Source organism: Homo sapiens, chromosome 8, assembly GCF_000001405.40.
Source record: "Homo sapiens chromosome 8, GRCh38.p14 Primary Assembly".
Classification (NCBI taxonomy): domain Eukaryota; kingdom Metazoa; phylum Chordata; class Mammalia; order Primates; family Hominidae; genus Homo; species Homo sapiens.
In genome coordinates this window covers 144,151,455-144,167,629 of record NC_000008.11, presented here as the reverse complement: position 1 = coordinate 144,167,629, position 16,175 = coordinate 144,151,455, and the positions used below count along the sequence as shown (strand labels likewise).

The 16,175-nt window shown below is 49.5% G+C and overlaps 1 protein-coding gene across 42 annotated transcripts in view, besides 2 other annotated features; it reads right to left on the bottom strand.

Annotated features, from left to right (window-relative positions):
- The window catches only part of MROH1 (maestro heat like repeat family member 1), a 113,911-nt gene that overhangs the window by 94,297 nt on the left and 3,439 nt on the right, over nt 1-16,175 (bottom strand). For 18 of the 42 annotated variants that reach the window (XM_047422172.1, XM_047422178.1, XM_047422185.1 and 15 more), the window contains exons 2-3: nt 6,541-6,634; nt 3,782-3,859 (exon numbers count right to left, since the gene is read on the bottom strand). In XM_047422172.1, coding sequence (XP_047278128.1) covers nt 3,782-3,803 — 22 coding nt within the window. In that variant the 5' untranslated portion in view covers nt 3,804-3,859; nt 6,541-6,634. Of the gene's footprint in view, nt 1-3,781; nt 3,860-6,540; nt 6,661-16,175 lie in introns of all 42 variants that reach the window. The other 24 variants (XM_047422171.1, XM_047422175.1, XM_047422181.1 and 21 more) reach the window with 2 other exon arrangements.
- Nucleotides 1,143-1,643: an enhancer, noted in NCBI's record as "H3K4me1 hESC enhancer chr8:145220890-145221390 (GRCh37/hg19 assembly coordinates)". NCBI's record gives its function as "activates a minimal SCP1, AML or CMV promoter by ChIP-STARR-seq in naive H9 embryonic stem cells {active_cell/tissue: H9 hESC(naive)}" and the evidence as "EXISTENCE:reporter gene assay evidence [ECO:0000049][PMID:30033119]".
- Nucleotides 2,201-2,352: a silencer, noted in NCBI's record as "fragment chr8:145220181-145220332 (GRCh37/hg19 assembly coordinates)". NCBI's record gives its function as "represses an EF-1alpha promoter that drives an FKBP-Casp9 reporter gene in an ReSE screen in K562 erythroleukemia cells {active_cell/tissue: K562}" and the evidence as "EXISTENCE:reporter gene assay evidence [ECO:0000049][PMID:32094911]".

Genomic DNA, 16,175 nt, shown 5'->3' with positions numbered 1-16,175 from the left:
ATCCCAGGGACTTGTGCCAACTGGCCGCTCCACCCCGACAACCAGCCACTCCACCCCAACAACCAGTCACTCCACCCAACAACTGGCCACTCCACCCCACAACCGGCCACTCCACCCCAACAACCGGCCACTCTACCCAACAACCGGCCACTCCACCCCAACTGGCCACTCCACCACAACAACCGGCCACTCCACCCAACAACCGGCCACTCCACCCCAACAACCGGCCACTCCACCCCACAACCGGCCACTCCACCCCACATCTGGCCACTCCACCCCACAACCGGCCACTCCACCCCAACAACCGGCCACTCTACCCAACAACCGGCCACTCCACCCCAACCGGCCACTCCACCCAACAACCGGCCACTCCACCCCAACAACCGGCCACTCCACCCCACAACCGGCCACTCCACCCCACATCTGGCCACTCCACCCCAACAACCGGCCACTCCACCCCAACAAGACCCTCCAGGCTGGTTTGTGGATGTCCCCTCTCTTTTGCTCCAGCAGCACCACACCCAGGCTGCCAACGAGGACATCCCAGGAGGCACCTGCTGGGGCAGAGGAACACACAGGCATCAGTGCGTGACTCAGTCTCCCTCTGGGAAGATATTCCTTCCTGAGCAGGAAGCTGGACTTTTAACAGCCCTCCATTTCCAAAGTCCAGTAGTTAGACAAACAGGCTGATCCAAATCAATGAGATCTGACTGTACCTAAGGCCACATTCAGCCAGTAAAGCAAACCCGGCCCGTACTGAACTGGGTCTGCATCTGCTTTTCCGGCTGTGGCCGTTCACGTGTGGAAGCACCAGGTCTCACGTGCTCTGGGAGCCTGCCCTCTGAGGGCAGTGAGGCTAGTCCCCCCTCCCTCGACCCCACCTCCTCACTGCTTTGCAGTGCCCTGGCTGGGCGGCGCCCCAGCCCCACTTGTACTCACAGACGCTTCTCACCACCCCACCTCCACCCATCAACACCCCAGTGCCATTCCGGGCCTCTCGGTGTCCCTCAAGCTCAAGACATGGCACCCAACAGTGGCACTTATAGAGCCCTGAGGTGTGGCTCATCCCTTGGACAGAGCTCTAGGGAGCAGGGACAAGTGGGCAGAGCTTCACCCATCCTGGCCCCGCACACAGTCAGCCTTAAGGGAGCCACAGCCTCAGCTGGGGACGCGGGGGCAGCCCGAGCGGACCCCAGAGCTGAACCGGGGCCTGCGTGCTCAGGTGCAGAGGCTCGGCCACCCAGGGAGCCTCCCGCTCCGAGCAGGCTGAACTGAGCCTCTGGGCAAATCTGTGCTCTCTACTACACCGGCAATGCTGCTACAACTTCCACGCCACGTCCCTCCAAAATCCATATGTTGGAACTTAACCCCCAATGTGATGGCATTAAGAGTGGGGCCTTTGGGCTGCACCTTCATGGATGGGATCAGAGCCTTATAAAAATGCTTGATGGGGTCGGGCGCAGTGGCTCACGCCTGTAATCCTAGCACTTTGGGAGACCAAGGTGGGTGGATCCCCTGAGGTCAGGAGTTCAAGACCAGTCTGGCCAACATGGTGAAACCATATCTCTACTAAAAATATAAAAATTAGCCAGGTGTGATGGCAGGTACCTATAGTCCCAGCTACTCAGGAGGCTGAGGCAGGAGAATTGCTTGAACCTCAGAGGCAGAGATTGCATGAGGCAAGATCACGCCACTGCACTCCAGCCTGGGTAACAGACAGAGACTCCATCTCGATGGGGAAAAAATAAATGCCTGATGGCCGGGCACAGTGGCTCCTGCTGATAATCCCAGCACTTTGGGAGGCCGATCACTTAAGTCCAGGAGTTTGAGACCAGCCTGGCCAACATGGTGAAACCCCGTCTCTACAAAAAAAAAAAAAAAAATACAAAAATTACGGCGTAGTGGCATGCACCTGTAGTCCCAGCTACTCAGGAGGCTGAGGTGGGAGGATCCCTTGAGGACAGGAGGCAGAGGTTGCAATGAGCTGAGAGAGCACCACCACACTCCAGCATAAGCGACACAACAAGACCCAGTCTCAAAAACACACACAAAAAAGATTGAGGCCCTGCATAGTGGCTCACGCTATAGTCCCAGTGCTTTGTGAAGCCGAGGTAGGAGGATCATTTGAAGGCAAGCGTTCAAGACCACCCTGAGCAACATAGCGAGACCTCATCTCTACAAAAACTAATTTTAAAAAATAGGCTGGGTGTGGGCTGTGCGCGGTGGCTCACGCCTGTAATCTCAGCACTTTAGGAGGCCGAGGTAGATGGATCACCTGAGGTCAGGAGTTTGAGACCAGCCTGGCAAACCTGGTGAAACCCCATCTCTACTAAAAATACAAAAATTAGTCGGACATGGTGGCGGGCACCTGTAATCCCAGCTGCTCTGGAGGCTGAGGCAGGGAGAATCACTTGAATCCAGGAGGTGGAGGTTGCAGTGAGCTGAGATCCACTGCACTCCAGCCTCTGCGACAGAGTGAGACTCCATCTCAAAAAAAAAAAAAATTAGCTGGGTGTGATGGCACATGCCTGTAATCTCAGCTACTTGGGAGGCTGAGGTGGGAGGATGGCTTGAGCCCAGGAGGTCACTGCACTCTAGCCTGGACAACAGAGTGAGACCCTGCCTTAAAAAACAAACAAACAAACAAAGGCTTGAAGGACATCCTAGTCCCTTCAGCCCCTCCAGTTATGAGATGACACAGCAAGAGACTCCATCTATGAGTCAGAAAACAGCCCTCACAGACATTGAATGTGCCGGTGCCTTTATCTGGGACTTCCCAACTGCCAGTACTGTGAGAAATACATTTCTATTATTCATTAATTACCCAATCTAAGATATTTTGTTACAGCAGCCTGAACAGCCTTTGAAAACTGCTAATTTTTTTTTTCTGATGAAAACCTGGAGAGAGCATGTTCATTCAACAGTCAGTCCAGGCCGGGCGCAGTGGCTCATGCCTATAATCCCAGCACTTTGGGAGGCTGAGGAGGGTGGATCACTTGAGCCCAGGAGTTCAAGAGCAGCCTGGCCAACATGACAAAATCTCATCTCTATGAAAAATACTTCTGGGCATAGTGGCATGCACCTGTAGGCCCAGCTACTTGGGAGGCTGAGGTAGGAGGATCACCTGAGCTCAGGAGTTTGAGGCTGCAGTGAGCCATGATTGCACCACTGCACTCCACCCTGGGTGATAGTGGGAGACCCTGTCTTTTTTTTTTTTTTTTTGGGGGGACCGAGTCTCACTCCATCGCCCAGACTGGAGTGCAGTGGCACGATCTCGGCTCACTGCAACCTCCGCCTCCCGAGTTCAAGCGATTCTCCTGTCTCAGCCTCCCGAGTAGCTGGGACTACAGGCAACTGCCACCACACCTGGCTAATTTTTGTATTTTTAGGAGAGACGGGGTTTCACCATGTTGGTCAGGCTGGTCTCAAACTCCTGACCTCAAGTGATCCGCCTGCCTTGGCCTCCCAAAGTGCTGGGATTACAGGCGTGAGCCACTGTGCCCAGCCGACCCTGTCTTAAAAAAAAAAAAAAAAAAGTAAAACAAACCTTCAAATCACATCCTGGATGCCATGTGCTTTTCTGGAGTCCCAAACTGAAGGCTCGTGTGGGAGAAGTCTACACCTGCCACATCACCCAACCTGCCCAGAACCCACTCAGGCTCCCGAGTATAGGGTGGAAACTCTAGGCACCATTGGAGCTGGTAAGAGCCTTGGCCTGCCCTGACCACCCAGAGGCAAGAGAGGCCTCACACCCGGCCACTCCCAATCCCCATGCACTCACTCTTCATGGAGGACTCAGTCATGTCTGTGGTTTCAGCTTCCTTCACCCAGTGTGAACATGGACAACTTCTTCTCCCATCTGGAATAACCAAAATCACAAGATTTAATTCATAAGCCTCTACGATATCTGAGTTCACAGGCAATTACCATTTCCATGTAAAATACACAATTTAAATGAATTTATTCTGGGGGAAATATCTCCGTCACATTTTCTTTGAGCCACTCAGGGAGGGCAAAAGGCATCATGATCCTCAACAGTTTCCAGCTCTCCTCCATCCCTGAGCACCCATCAGTCCCTACCAGCACCTCACTGGCCTGCACAGGCTTGTCCACAGCTGGCCCACAGTGTCACCTCGTCACCATCAGCCCCAGCAGGAGTGGATGCACCTCCACCTACAGCATCCTCCTCCACACTGTGAGGAACTGAGCACGGGCACCACAGCTTTCACACATCACATGCCATGCGCCACTGCATGCAACAATGGTCCCTAAGAATCGAGTCCAGGAAGCGTCCAAGTTCCCTCTGCCTCTTCACCACGGACACACATTCAAGTCTTGTGTCACGCTTTCTGAGGACCTACGTCATCAGAGGGGCTGCAGGCCCACCATAAGCATGGCAGCCAGCATCCTAACACTCACATTCTCTGTTCTCTGAGTCTCCCACCAGCCCCTTAATTCCCTTGATCACCTCCCATCCACCATTCCTTGCTAACATACTCCAGAGAAAAATGAAGGAGAGACACCATGACCCATCCCTGACCAGCCAGGACACCTCCCTGCGCTGTGCACACATGGGTTGGAGGCGAAGTAAGAAATCATAGAAATCTTGGCCAAGAGCGATGGCTCATGCCTGTAATCCAGCACTTTGGGAGGCCAAGGTGGGTGGATTGTTTGAGGTCAGGAGTTCGAGACCAGCCTGGCCAATATGATGAAACTCTGTCTCTACTAAAAACACAAAAATTAGCCGGTCGTGGTGGCAGGCACCTTTAGTCCTAGCTACTCAGGGAGCTGAGGCATGAGAATCACTTGAACCTGGGAAGCGGAGGTTGTAGTGAGCCAAGGACACACCACTGCACTGCAGCCTGAGCGACAGAGTGAGACTCTGTCTCAGAGAAAAAAAAAAACAAAAGAAAGAAAGAAAAAAGACATCATGGGCCGGGTGCAGTGGCTCATGCCTGTAATTCCAGCACTTTGGGAGGCTGAGGCAGGTGGACCACTTGAGGCCAGGAGTTTGAGACCAGCCTGGCCAACATGGTGACACACCATCTCTACTAAAAATACAAAAAAATTAGCCAGTCTGGTGGCTCATGCCTGTAATCCCAGCTACTCAGGAGGCTGAGGTGGGAGAATTGCTTGAACCTGGTAGGCGGAGGTTACAGTGAACCGAGATTGCACCACTGCACTACACTCCAGCCTGGGCAACAGAGCGAGCCCTGTCTCAAAAAAAAAGAAAAGAAAAACAGGGCCGGGCGCAGTGGCTCATATCTGTAATCCCAGCACTTTGGGATGCTGAGGCGGGCGGATCATCTGAGGTCAGGATTTCAAGACCAGCCTGGCTAACATGGTAAAATCCAGTCTGTACTAAAAAAATACAGAAATTAGCTGGGTGTGGTGGCGCGTGCCTGTAATCCCAGCTACTCAGGAGGCTGAGGCAGAAGAATCACTTGCACCCGGGAGGTGGAGGTCGCAGTGAGCTGAGATCGTGCCACTGCACTCCAGCCTGGGCGACAGAGTGAGACTCTGTCTTAAAAAAAAAAAAAAAAAAGAAAAGAAAAACAAAAAAACATATTCCATAAAGATCCCAAGCTGTGGAAGAGTTAAGAGCTGAAGAGGGCAGTGGCTCCCAGGCAGGGCAGAAAACCTGTGAAAGCGCCCACAGCACATACTTCCCAGAGACAAGGGCACGCCTGACGTGGAGCATCACAAGCCAGAGTTCCCAGGCCTGAGCTGAGCTGGGAGGCGGAGAAGCTGGGCTGAGTGGCCGGGCTCTGGGACCAGAGGCTGTGCCCTGCGGGTAGCCAGCACTGCCCAGCTCCGTCGTCCAGGAAGAAACGGGCGGAACCAACGCCAGTCCACGACCGTGCAGCACCCCTTCCAGTGCAGCAGCCACGCTCACCCAACTCAAACAGGAGCTAACAAAACAAATGGGCACATGGACTTGGACTTGCCTGCTCCCGGCCCAGGCGAGAATCACAGGACAACTAAAAAACTGGACGAGACACAAGAAACCACTGTTTCTCAGGACAATGGACATCAGAAAATGAAGGACTGTGCGGCCTGAGAGGTAGGAAATGAGGCGGAGCCCTAAGAGCCCAGCTCACTGCCTGGAGAGAGGACCCAGTCCTAGGGCCCAGCAAAACACCTAAGCTGATGAGACAGAACGGGGAGTGCCGGCCGATACCAAGGCGGCCGGAGTCTGCAGTCTCTCATACCAGAGAAAGCGCTGCCCAGAGAGAACTTTAGAGACCTGCAGCGGGTTCCCTGGGCACTCAGCAAGTTACTGGTCAGCAGAATAATAGCCCCAAAGCTTCCCACACCCTAATCCCCAGAACCTGTGTGTATGAACCCTTACACAGCAAAGGGGATTCAGTAGATGAGATTAAGGGTACAGGCCCTGAGACAGGGAGATTATCCTGGATTACCTGGGTGAGACCAAACTAATCACATGAGTCCTTAAAAGCACAGAAGCTTTCCCAGGTGCGTCAAAGAGAAGAGACAGAAGAGCGGGGAGGAGAAATTTGAAGCGTGAGAAGGACTCACCCCACAACTGCTGGCTTGGAGGATGCAGGAGGGAGGCTCTGAGACAAGGAATGCAGGTGGCCTGGAGAAGCTGCGAATGGCCCTCAGCTGGCGGCTGACAAGAAAACAGGAGCTTCCGTCCTACAGATGCAAAGAACCAAATTCTGCCAGGAACCTGAGACAGCAGAAGCAATCCTTCCCAGGGGCACCAGGAAGGGAAGCAGCCCCCGGCGCCTGGGTTCTGGCTGGTGAGACTTGGTAGACTTCTGACTCCAAAAACTTTATGGTAATAAATTTGTCTGGTGCCTGGGTTCTAGCCGGTGGGACCCTTGTAGACTTCTGACTCCAAGAACTTTATGGTAATAAATTTGTCTGGTGCCTGGGTTCTAGCCAGTGGGACCCTTGGTAGACTTCTGACTCCAAGAACTTTATGGTAATAAATTTGTCTGGTGCCTGGGTTCTAGCCGGTGGGACCCTTGGTAGACTTCTGACTCCAAGAACTTTATGGTAATAAATTTGTCTGGTGCCTGGGTTCTAGCCGGTGGGACCCTTGGTAGACTTCTGACTCCAAAAACTTTATGGTAATAAATTTGTGTTGCTTAAGGCACTAAGTTTGTGATAATGCATTGCATCAGCATTAGAAAACTAAGACAAATGCCTTGTAGGAGAACAAACTGTCCAAAGCTGCAGAAAGAGCCACACAAAGGGATTAGGAGAAGCAACATCCAGGGCTTCCACAGGTCCAGGAATGGGGCCTGCTCCCAGCAGCCGGAGTGGAAAGTGTGGAAAGCGTCATGACTCATGGGGCACCAGGCAGAGCTCAGGATTCCACCTCAGTAAACAACCAAATCAGTCCTAGACTAAATGTCATTCTGGTCTCACCTAACAAAGCTAAAAGAAAGGTCTGACAAGATCAAACTGTTCCCTAGTAACTTAGCCAGCTCCCAGCACAAAGCTCATGAATACTAACAGAAACACAAAAATATCCAGCAACACCAAGCAAAAGCAACGCCTGGCATCCAATCAAAAATTACCAGGCGTGGGCCGGGCGCGGTGGCTCACGCCTGTAATCCCAGCACTTTGGGAGGCCGAGGCGGGTGGATCATGAGCTCAGGAGATCAAGACCATCCTGGCTAACACGGTGAAACCCTGTCTCTACTAAAAAATACAATAAATTAGACGGGGTGTGGTGGCGGGCCCCTGTAGTCCCAGCTACTCAGGAGGCTGAGGCAGGAGAATGGCGTGAACCCGGGAGGCGGAGCTTGCAGTGAGCCAAGATCGCACCACTGCACTCCAGCCTGGGCGACAAAGCGAGACTCCGTCTCAAAAAAAAAAAAAAAAAAAATTACCAGGCGTACAAAGAAGCAAGAAAATCCAACCCATTGTGAGGATGAACCAACCAATACAAACTGACCCAGAAATAACACAAAGGAAAGAGTTCAGAGACACAGACATTAGTTATTAAAACTATTTCATATGTTTGAGAAACTACAGGAAAGATTAAATATGTTAACACTACGAGGTTAAAAGCAAAAGGATGGGCAAAGAAAAACATGGCTGGCATTAGTTACAAGAAAGCTGGAGTCACATTAGACAAACTAGATTTCAGAAATATTAAGTATCCTAAACATTTTTACCTGGTAACAGAGCTTCAAAATACACAAAGCCAAAACTAATAAAAATGCAAGGAACAATAGACCAATCTAAATTGCAGTATAGATTTCAACATTTCTCTCTCTCTCCTTTCTTTTTGACACGGAGTTTCGCTTTTGTCGCCCAGGCTGGAGTACAATGGCAGGATCTCGGCTCACTACAACCTCCGCCTTCCGGGTTTAAGTGATTCTCCTGCCTCAGCCTCCCCAGGAGCTGGGACTACAGAAACGGGCCACCATACCTGGCTAATTTTTGTATTTTTAGTAGAGATGGGGTTTCACCACATTGGCCAGGCTGGTCTCGAACTCCTGACCTCAGGTGATCCACCCACCTCAGCCTCCCAAAGTGCTGGGATTACAGGCGTGAGCCACTGTGCCCGGCCCTCTGTCTCTGTTAGAACAAGTGAACAGAAAATTCGGCCAGGCAGAGTGGCTCATACCTGTAATCTTGGCACTTTGGGAGGCTACGAGGCAGTTTGAATGCTTGAGCTCAGGAGTTCAAAACCAGCCTGGGTAACACAGCGAAGCCCTGTCTCTACAAAAAATACAAAAACTAGCTGGGCGTGGTGGCGTGCGCCTGTAGTCCCAGCTACTCGGGAGGCAGGAGGATCACTTGAGCCCAGGAGGTCAATGCTGCAGTGAGCAGAGATCACACCACTGTGCTCCAGCCTCAGCGACAGGAGTGAGACCCTGTCGCTAAAAATTAAAAAAAAAAAAGTGTAAAAGAAGTCAATGCATACAAAGTATGTTCTCTGACCACAGTGGAATTAAATATATCAATAAGAGAAAGATATCTGAGAAATCCCCAGGAGTTTCAAAACTATTTAATATGCTTTGAAATAACGCATGGGTCTAAAAAGGAATCAAAAGTGAAATTACAAAACACACTGAAGTGAATGAAAATGAAAAGACATATCAAAATTTGTGGAAACTTATAGCACTAAATGTCTTTTTAGAAAAGAAGAATGATTAAAGTATACAGAGAATGTGCAGGAAAAAAATAATGAGTTCAACTTCTACCTTAAGAAACTAGAGGCCAGGTGAGGTGGCTCATGCCTGTAATCCTAGCACTTTGGGAGGCCAAGGTGGGTGGATCACTTGAGGTCAGTTCGAGACCAGCCTGACCAACACAGTGAAACCCCATCTCTACTAAAAATAGAAAAATTGGCCAGGCGTGGTGGCTCACATCTGTAATCCCAGCACTTTGGGAGGCTGAAGTACGTGGATCACCTGAGTTCAGGAGTTCGAGACCAGCCCGGCCAGTATGGTGAAACCCGAACCCTACTAAAAATACAAAAATTAGCTGGGCATGGTGGTATGCACCTGTAGTCCCAGCTACTTGGGAGGCTGAGACAGGAGAATTGCTTGAACCCAGGGGGCGGAGTTTGCAGTGAGCCAAGATAGCACCACTGCACTCCAACCTGGGCGACAGAGCCAGACTCCATCTCAAAAAAAAAAAAAAAAAAAAAGAAAGAAATAGATGGCCAGGCGCAGTGGCTCATGCCTGTAATCCCAGCACTTTGGGAGGCCAAGGCAGGTGGATCACTCAAGCTCAGGAGTTCAAGACCACCTGGGCAACATGGCAAAACCCCATCTCTACCAAAAGTACAAAAATCAGCTGGGCATGGTGGCACCCACCTGTAGTCCCAGCTACTCAGGAGGCTGAGGTGGAAGGACCACGTGAGCCTGGGAAACAGAGGTAGCAGTGAGCCAAGACTGCACCACTGCACTCCAGCCTGGGTGACAAAGCAACCCCTTCTCAAAAAAAAAAAAAAAAAAAAGAAAGAAAGAAAGAAAAAGAAATAGGCAAATCCCTTAAAAGACACAAGCTACAAGCTATCAAACCTCACTCACAAAGAGATAACCTAAATAGTCCCATATCTAAAAAGAAATCGAACTCATAGTAAAAAACCTTCCCATAAAACCTAGATGGTTTCCCTGGGGAATTCTACCAAACATGGAAGGAAGAAATAATACCAACTATACACAAATTCTTCCTGAAAAAATTAAAAAGAAAAGACTACTTCCCAACTAATTTTCTGAGCATTACTCTCATAACAAAACCAAAGACCTTGTAAGAAAGCTATACAGACTCACGCCTGTAATCCCAGCACTTTGGGAGGCCAAGGCGGGTGGATAACTTGAGGTCAGGAGTTTGAGACCAGCCTGGCCAACATGGTGAAGCCCTGTCTATACTAAAAATACAAAAATTAGCTGTACATGGTGGCTCAAGCCAGCACTTTGGGAGGCTGAGGCAGGCGGATCATAAGGTCAGGAGTTCGAGACCAGCCTGACCAACATGGTGAAACCCCTTCTCTACTAAAAATACAAAAAAATTAGCTGGACGTGGTGGCGCACGCCTGTAATCCCGGCTACTCAGGAGGCTGAGGCAGTAGAATCCCTTGAATGCGGGAGGCGGAGGTTGCAGTGAGCCGAGATCACGCCACTGCGCTCCAGCCTGGGCAACACAGTGAGACTCTGTCTAAAAATAATAATACTAATACAAAAATTAGCCAGGCGTGGTGGTGTGCGCCTGTAATCCCAGCTACTCAGGAGGCTGAGGCAAGAGAATTGCTTGAACCCAGGAAGCAGAGTTTGCAATGAGCCGAGATAGCACCATTGCACTCAAGCCTGGGGACAGAATGAGACTCTGTCTCAAGAAAAAAAAAAAAAAAAAAGAAATTAAACTACAAAGCAATATTCCTTATGGACACAGATGTGCAAATTCTTTTTTTTTTTTTTTTTTTTTTGAGACAGAGTCTTGCTCTGTCACCCAGGCTGGAGTGCAATGGTGCAATCTCGGCTCACTGCAACCTCTGCCTCCCACATTCAAGCGATTCTTCTGCCTCAGCCTCCTGAGTAGATGGGACTACAGGCACACACCATCACGCCTGGCTAATTTTTGTATTTTTTTAGGAGAGATGGTGTTTCACCATGTTGGCCAGGCTGGTCTCAAACCCCTGAGCTCAGGCAATCCGCCGGCCTCGGCCTCCCAAAGTGCTGGGATTATAGGTGTGAGCCACCGTGCCCAGCTGGTTTTAATATTTTTAAATTCAGCTGATATAATTCACATCACGATCATCTCAATAAATGCAGAAAAAGCATTTGTCACAATCCAACGTCCACTTATGATAAAAATTCTCAAGAAGAGAAGGGAACTACCTTAACTAGGAAGAGAAGGAAACCTGCTCAACTTTTTTTTTTTTTTTTTTTTTTTCTTTGAGACGGAGTTTCACTCTTGTTGCCCAGGCTGGAGTGCAATGGCGCAGTCTCGGCTCACCACAACCTCCACCTCCCGGGTTCAAGTGATTCTCCTGCCTCAGCCTCCAGAGTAGCTGGGATTACAGACATGCGCCCCACGCCCAGCTAATTTTGTATTTTTAGTACAGGCGGAGTTTCTCCATGTTGGTCAGGCTGGTTGCGAACTCCCAACCTCAGGTGATCCACCCGCCTCGGCCTCCCAACATGTTGGGATTACAGGCGTGAGCCACCGCGCCCGGCCTCAACTTGTTACTTAAGAAAAACTGGCCGGGTGCAGTGGCTCAGGCCTGTAATCCCAGCACTCCGGGAGGCTGAGGCAGATGGATCACTTGAGGTCACGAGTTCGAGACCAGTGTGGCCAACATGTTGAAACCCTGTCTCTACTAAAAATACAAAAATTAGCCTGAGTGGTGGTGGGCGCCTGTAGTCCCAGCTACTCAGGAGGCTGAGGCAGGAGAATCACTTGAACCCAGGAAGCAGGGGTTGCAGTGAGCTGAGATCGTGCATTCTGGCCTGGGTGACAAAGCAAGACTCCATCTCAAAAAAAAAAAAAAAAAAAGAAAAACACCTAAGAAAAACCTGTAATTAACATCATACAGTTGGTCCTTGAACAACACAAGTTTCAACTGCATGGGTTCACTTATACACAGTTTTGTGTCAATAAATATATTGGAAAACTTTTTGGAGATTTGTGACACGTTGGAAAAACTTATGGACAAACGTAGTCTAGAGATATCAAAAAAATTTAAGAAAATGTGAAATATGTCATGAATGCATAAAATATATGTAGACACTAGTCTATTTTATCATTTACTACCATGAAATATACACAAATCTGTTGTAAGAAGTTAAAATTTATCAAAATATATATGCACACTTACAGACCCTACATGCTGCCATCTGCAGTCAAGAAAAATCTAAACAAACATAAAGACGCAGTATTGAGAGGCCGGGTGCGGTGGCTCACACCTGTAATCCCAGCACTTTGGGAGGCTGAAGCAGGCGCATTAACTGAGGTCAGGAGTTCGAGACCAGCCTGACCAACATGGAGGAACCCTGTGTCTACTAAAAATACAAAATTAGGCCGGGCGTGGTGGCTCATGCCTGTAATCCCAGCACTTTAGGACGCCGAGGTGGGTGGATCACGAGGTCAGGAGTTCAAGACCAGCCTGGCTAGCATGGTGAAACCCCATCTCTGCTAAAAATACAAAAATTAGCCAGGCATGGTGGCGGGTGCCTGCAATCCCAGCTACTCGGGAGGCTGAGGCAGAGAATTGCTTGAACCCAGGAGGCAGAGGTTGCAGTGAGCTGAGATTGCACCACTGCGCTCCAGCCTGGGCCACAGAGCAAGCCATCTTAAAAAAAAGTAGCTGGGCGTGGTAGCGCATGCCTGTAATCCCAGCTACTTGGGAGGCTGAGGCAGAATTGCTTGAACCCAGGAGGCGGAGGTTGCAGTAAGCTGAGATCATGCCATTGTACACCAGCCTGGGTGACAAGAGTGAAACTCTGTCTCAAAAAAAAAAAAAAAAAAAGATGCAGTATTGAATCACAGCTACACAGAATTAAGTGTAGCACATACTGAACTACTGTGATAATTCCAAAGCACGTCTCATTGCTACTGCAGTGAGCTCAGGCAGTGAGTGTATCTGCTTAACACACCGTGGGACGCCATCACCCCCACATGAGCAGTTTGCAGTAAAACCAGTCGCCCGTGGTTCTCCCACATTCTTCATCAGGTTTAGTCAGTGCCTTGAATGACACCATGGGACCCATACAAAGTGCCAGTAGTGGTGCTGGAAGTGCTCCCCAGAAGCAGAAGAAAGCCATGACTTTATAAGAACAAGTTGAGCTGCCTAGTTTGTACCATAGACTGAGGTCTATAGCTGCGGATCACTTGAGGTCAAGAGTTTGAGACCAGCCTGACCAACATGGTAAAACCTTGTCTCTACTTAAAAAATTTTTAAAAATTAGCCGGCGTGGTGGCACGTGCCTGTAATCCCAGCTACTCGGAAGGCTGAGGCAGGAGAATGGCTTGAACCCAGGAGGTGGAGATTACAGTGAGCCGAGATCTTGCCACTGCACTCCAGCCTGGGCAACAGAGCCAGGCTCCATCTCAAAAAAAAATAAAAATAAAAATAGGGTGGACGCTTTGGCTCACGCCCGTAGTCCCAGCACTTGGGGAGGCCAAGGTGGGCGGATCACGAGGTCAAGAGATCGAGACCATCCTGGCTAACACGGTGAAACCCCATCTCTACTAAAAATACAAAATATTAGCCAGGTGTGGTGGTGGGCGCCTGTAGTCCTGGCTACTCGGGAAGCTGAGGGAGAAGAACCGCTTGAACCCAGGAGGAAGAGGTTGCAGTGAGCCAAGATCGTGCCACTGCACTCCAGCCTGGGCGATGGAGCAAAACTCTGTCTCAAAAAATAAAAAATAAAATAAAAACAGAACTGCCATATCATCCAATGATCCTGAGTACGCATCCAGAGGAAATGAAATTAGGATCTCAAAAAAGACATCTGCACTGCCATGGGTACTGCAGCACCATTCACAAAAGCCAAGATATGGAATCAGTGTAAGTGTGCACCAATGGATGAATGAATAAAGAAAATGTGGCATATATTTAAAGAAAGAACAAAATAAAAATAAAACAAAGAAAATGTGGTATATCACAATGGAGTATTATTCAGTCTTAAAAAAGGAGGCTGGGCGCAGTGGCTCACACCTGTAATCCCAGCACTTTGGGAGGCCGAAGCAGGTGGATCACCTGAGGTCAGGAGTTCGAGACCAGACTGGCCAACATGGTGAAACGCCATCTCTACTAAAAATACAAAAATTAGCTGGGCGTGGTGGTGGGTGCCTGTAATCCCAACTACTCAGGAGGCTGAGGCAAGTGAATTGCTTGAACCCAGGAGGCGGAGGTTGCAGTGAGCCGAGATCGAGCCATTACACTTCAGCCTGGGCAACAAGAGTGAAACTCCATCTCAAAAAAAAAAAAGAAGGAATTCCTGTCATTTGCGAGAAATGGGATGTACTGAAGGACATTACGTAAAGTAAAATAAGCCAGGAACAGAAAGACGACCACGTGATCTCACACGTGGAATCCCAACTTCTATGAAGAGTTGAACTCCTAGAAGCAGAGTAGAACGGTGGTTACCGGGGCTGGCAGAGGTGGAGGACTAGGGAGATGTTGGTCACAGGGTCAATGCTTCAGTTAGACAGGAAGAATAAATTCAAGAGATCAATTGCACAACATAGATGACTAGAGTTAACAGCAACGTGATATATACTTGAAAATTGCTGAGAGTAGATTTTAAGTGTTCTCAGCACGAGAAGAAAGTATATGAGGTCATGGCCAGGCGCAGTGGCTCATGCCTGTAATCCCAGAACTTTGGGAGGCCGAGGTGGGCAGATCACAAGGTCAGGAGATGGAGACCATCCTGGCCAACACAGTAAAACCCCGTCTCTACTAAAAAATACAAAAAATTAGCCGGGTGTGGTGGCGGGCGCCTGTAGTCCCAGCTACTCGGGAGGCTGAGGCAGGAGAATGGCATGAACCCAGGAGGCGGAGCTTCCAGTGAGCCGAGATTGCACCACTGCACTCCAGCCTGGGCGACAGAGCGAGACTGTCTCAAAAAAAAAAATAATAATAATAATTTTTCACACGCCTGTAGTCCCAGCTACTCAGGAGGCTGAGGCAGGAGAATGGCTTGAACCCAGTAGGCAGAGGTTGCAATGAGCCAAAATCGTGCCACTGCACTCCAGCCTGGCGACAGAGCAAGACTCCGTCTCAAAAAAAAAAAAAATTTTTTTTAAATAAAAAAACAAGGCAGTTATGATAAACCAATCATAATATATATGAGAAAATGACTTGCCTGATATTAACATAGTAGTCCCCTCTTATCCTGTTTTACTTTCCTTGGTTTCAGTTACCCACAATCAAACATAGTCCAAAAATATTAAATAGAAAAATTCCAGAAATGAACTCATGTTTTAAATTGCAGGCTGTCTTGAGTATTGTCATAAACTGTTCTATTTTATTATTCATTGCTGTCAACCTCTTATTGTGCTTCATTTATAGTTAAACTTTATCATAGGTATATAGGTATGAGACATATCCCTGTGGACAGGGAAGGACTACTGTATGCAAAGGAGCTTGTGCACATCCCTGAGATAAACAGGAAAGAGAGCAAAGGACGTGCAAGAATTCTCAGAAGAGAGAGAGATCGCCGGCAGACATATGGGGACTGTGCTGACTGCCCCTAGGTTGAACAGAGACACTCAGCCACCCTTCCAGAGCCGACGGCAGTGCAGCACGGTGCTGCGGAAAGGTCCCCTTGTCCCCGTCGCAGGGCGTGTGACGTTGGTGCGAATTGCTTCTTCAGTGCCCCGCTGCCCAAACCTCTAGGGGGAGCACAGAGACGGGAGGCTGTATCTAGGGATGAATGTTTACACCTGAAGCCCCAGTGGGCGTGTGTTCCAGGGTGCTCTTTTAGTTTGCCGTCTATAGGCAGCTTGTGCTAAACAGCTCAATTAGACCCTCTACTTGTCGCAAGGACAGAGGGCTTTTTGTATCCCGGGTTCTTGCCCTTTGGTGTACCGGCAGAGTCGGATCACACCTGGGCTTGGAGAATGAGTGTAAAGTTCTATTGAGTGGAAGCAGCTCTCAGCCAATGGGGGAGCCAGAAAGGAGATGGTCTTCCTCTGGAGTTGGGCTGCTTGGTGGCCCCAGCTCTCCTCCGACT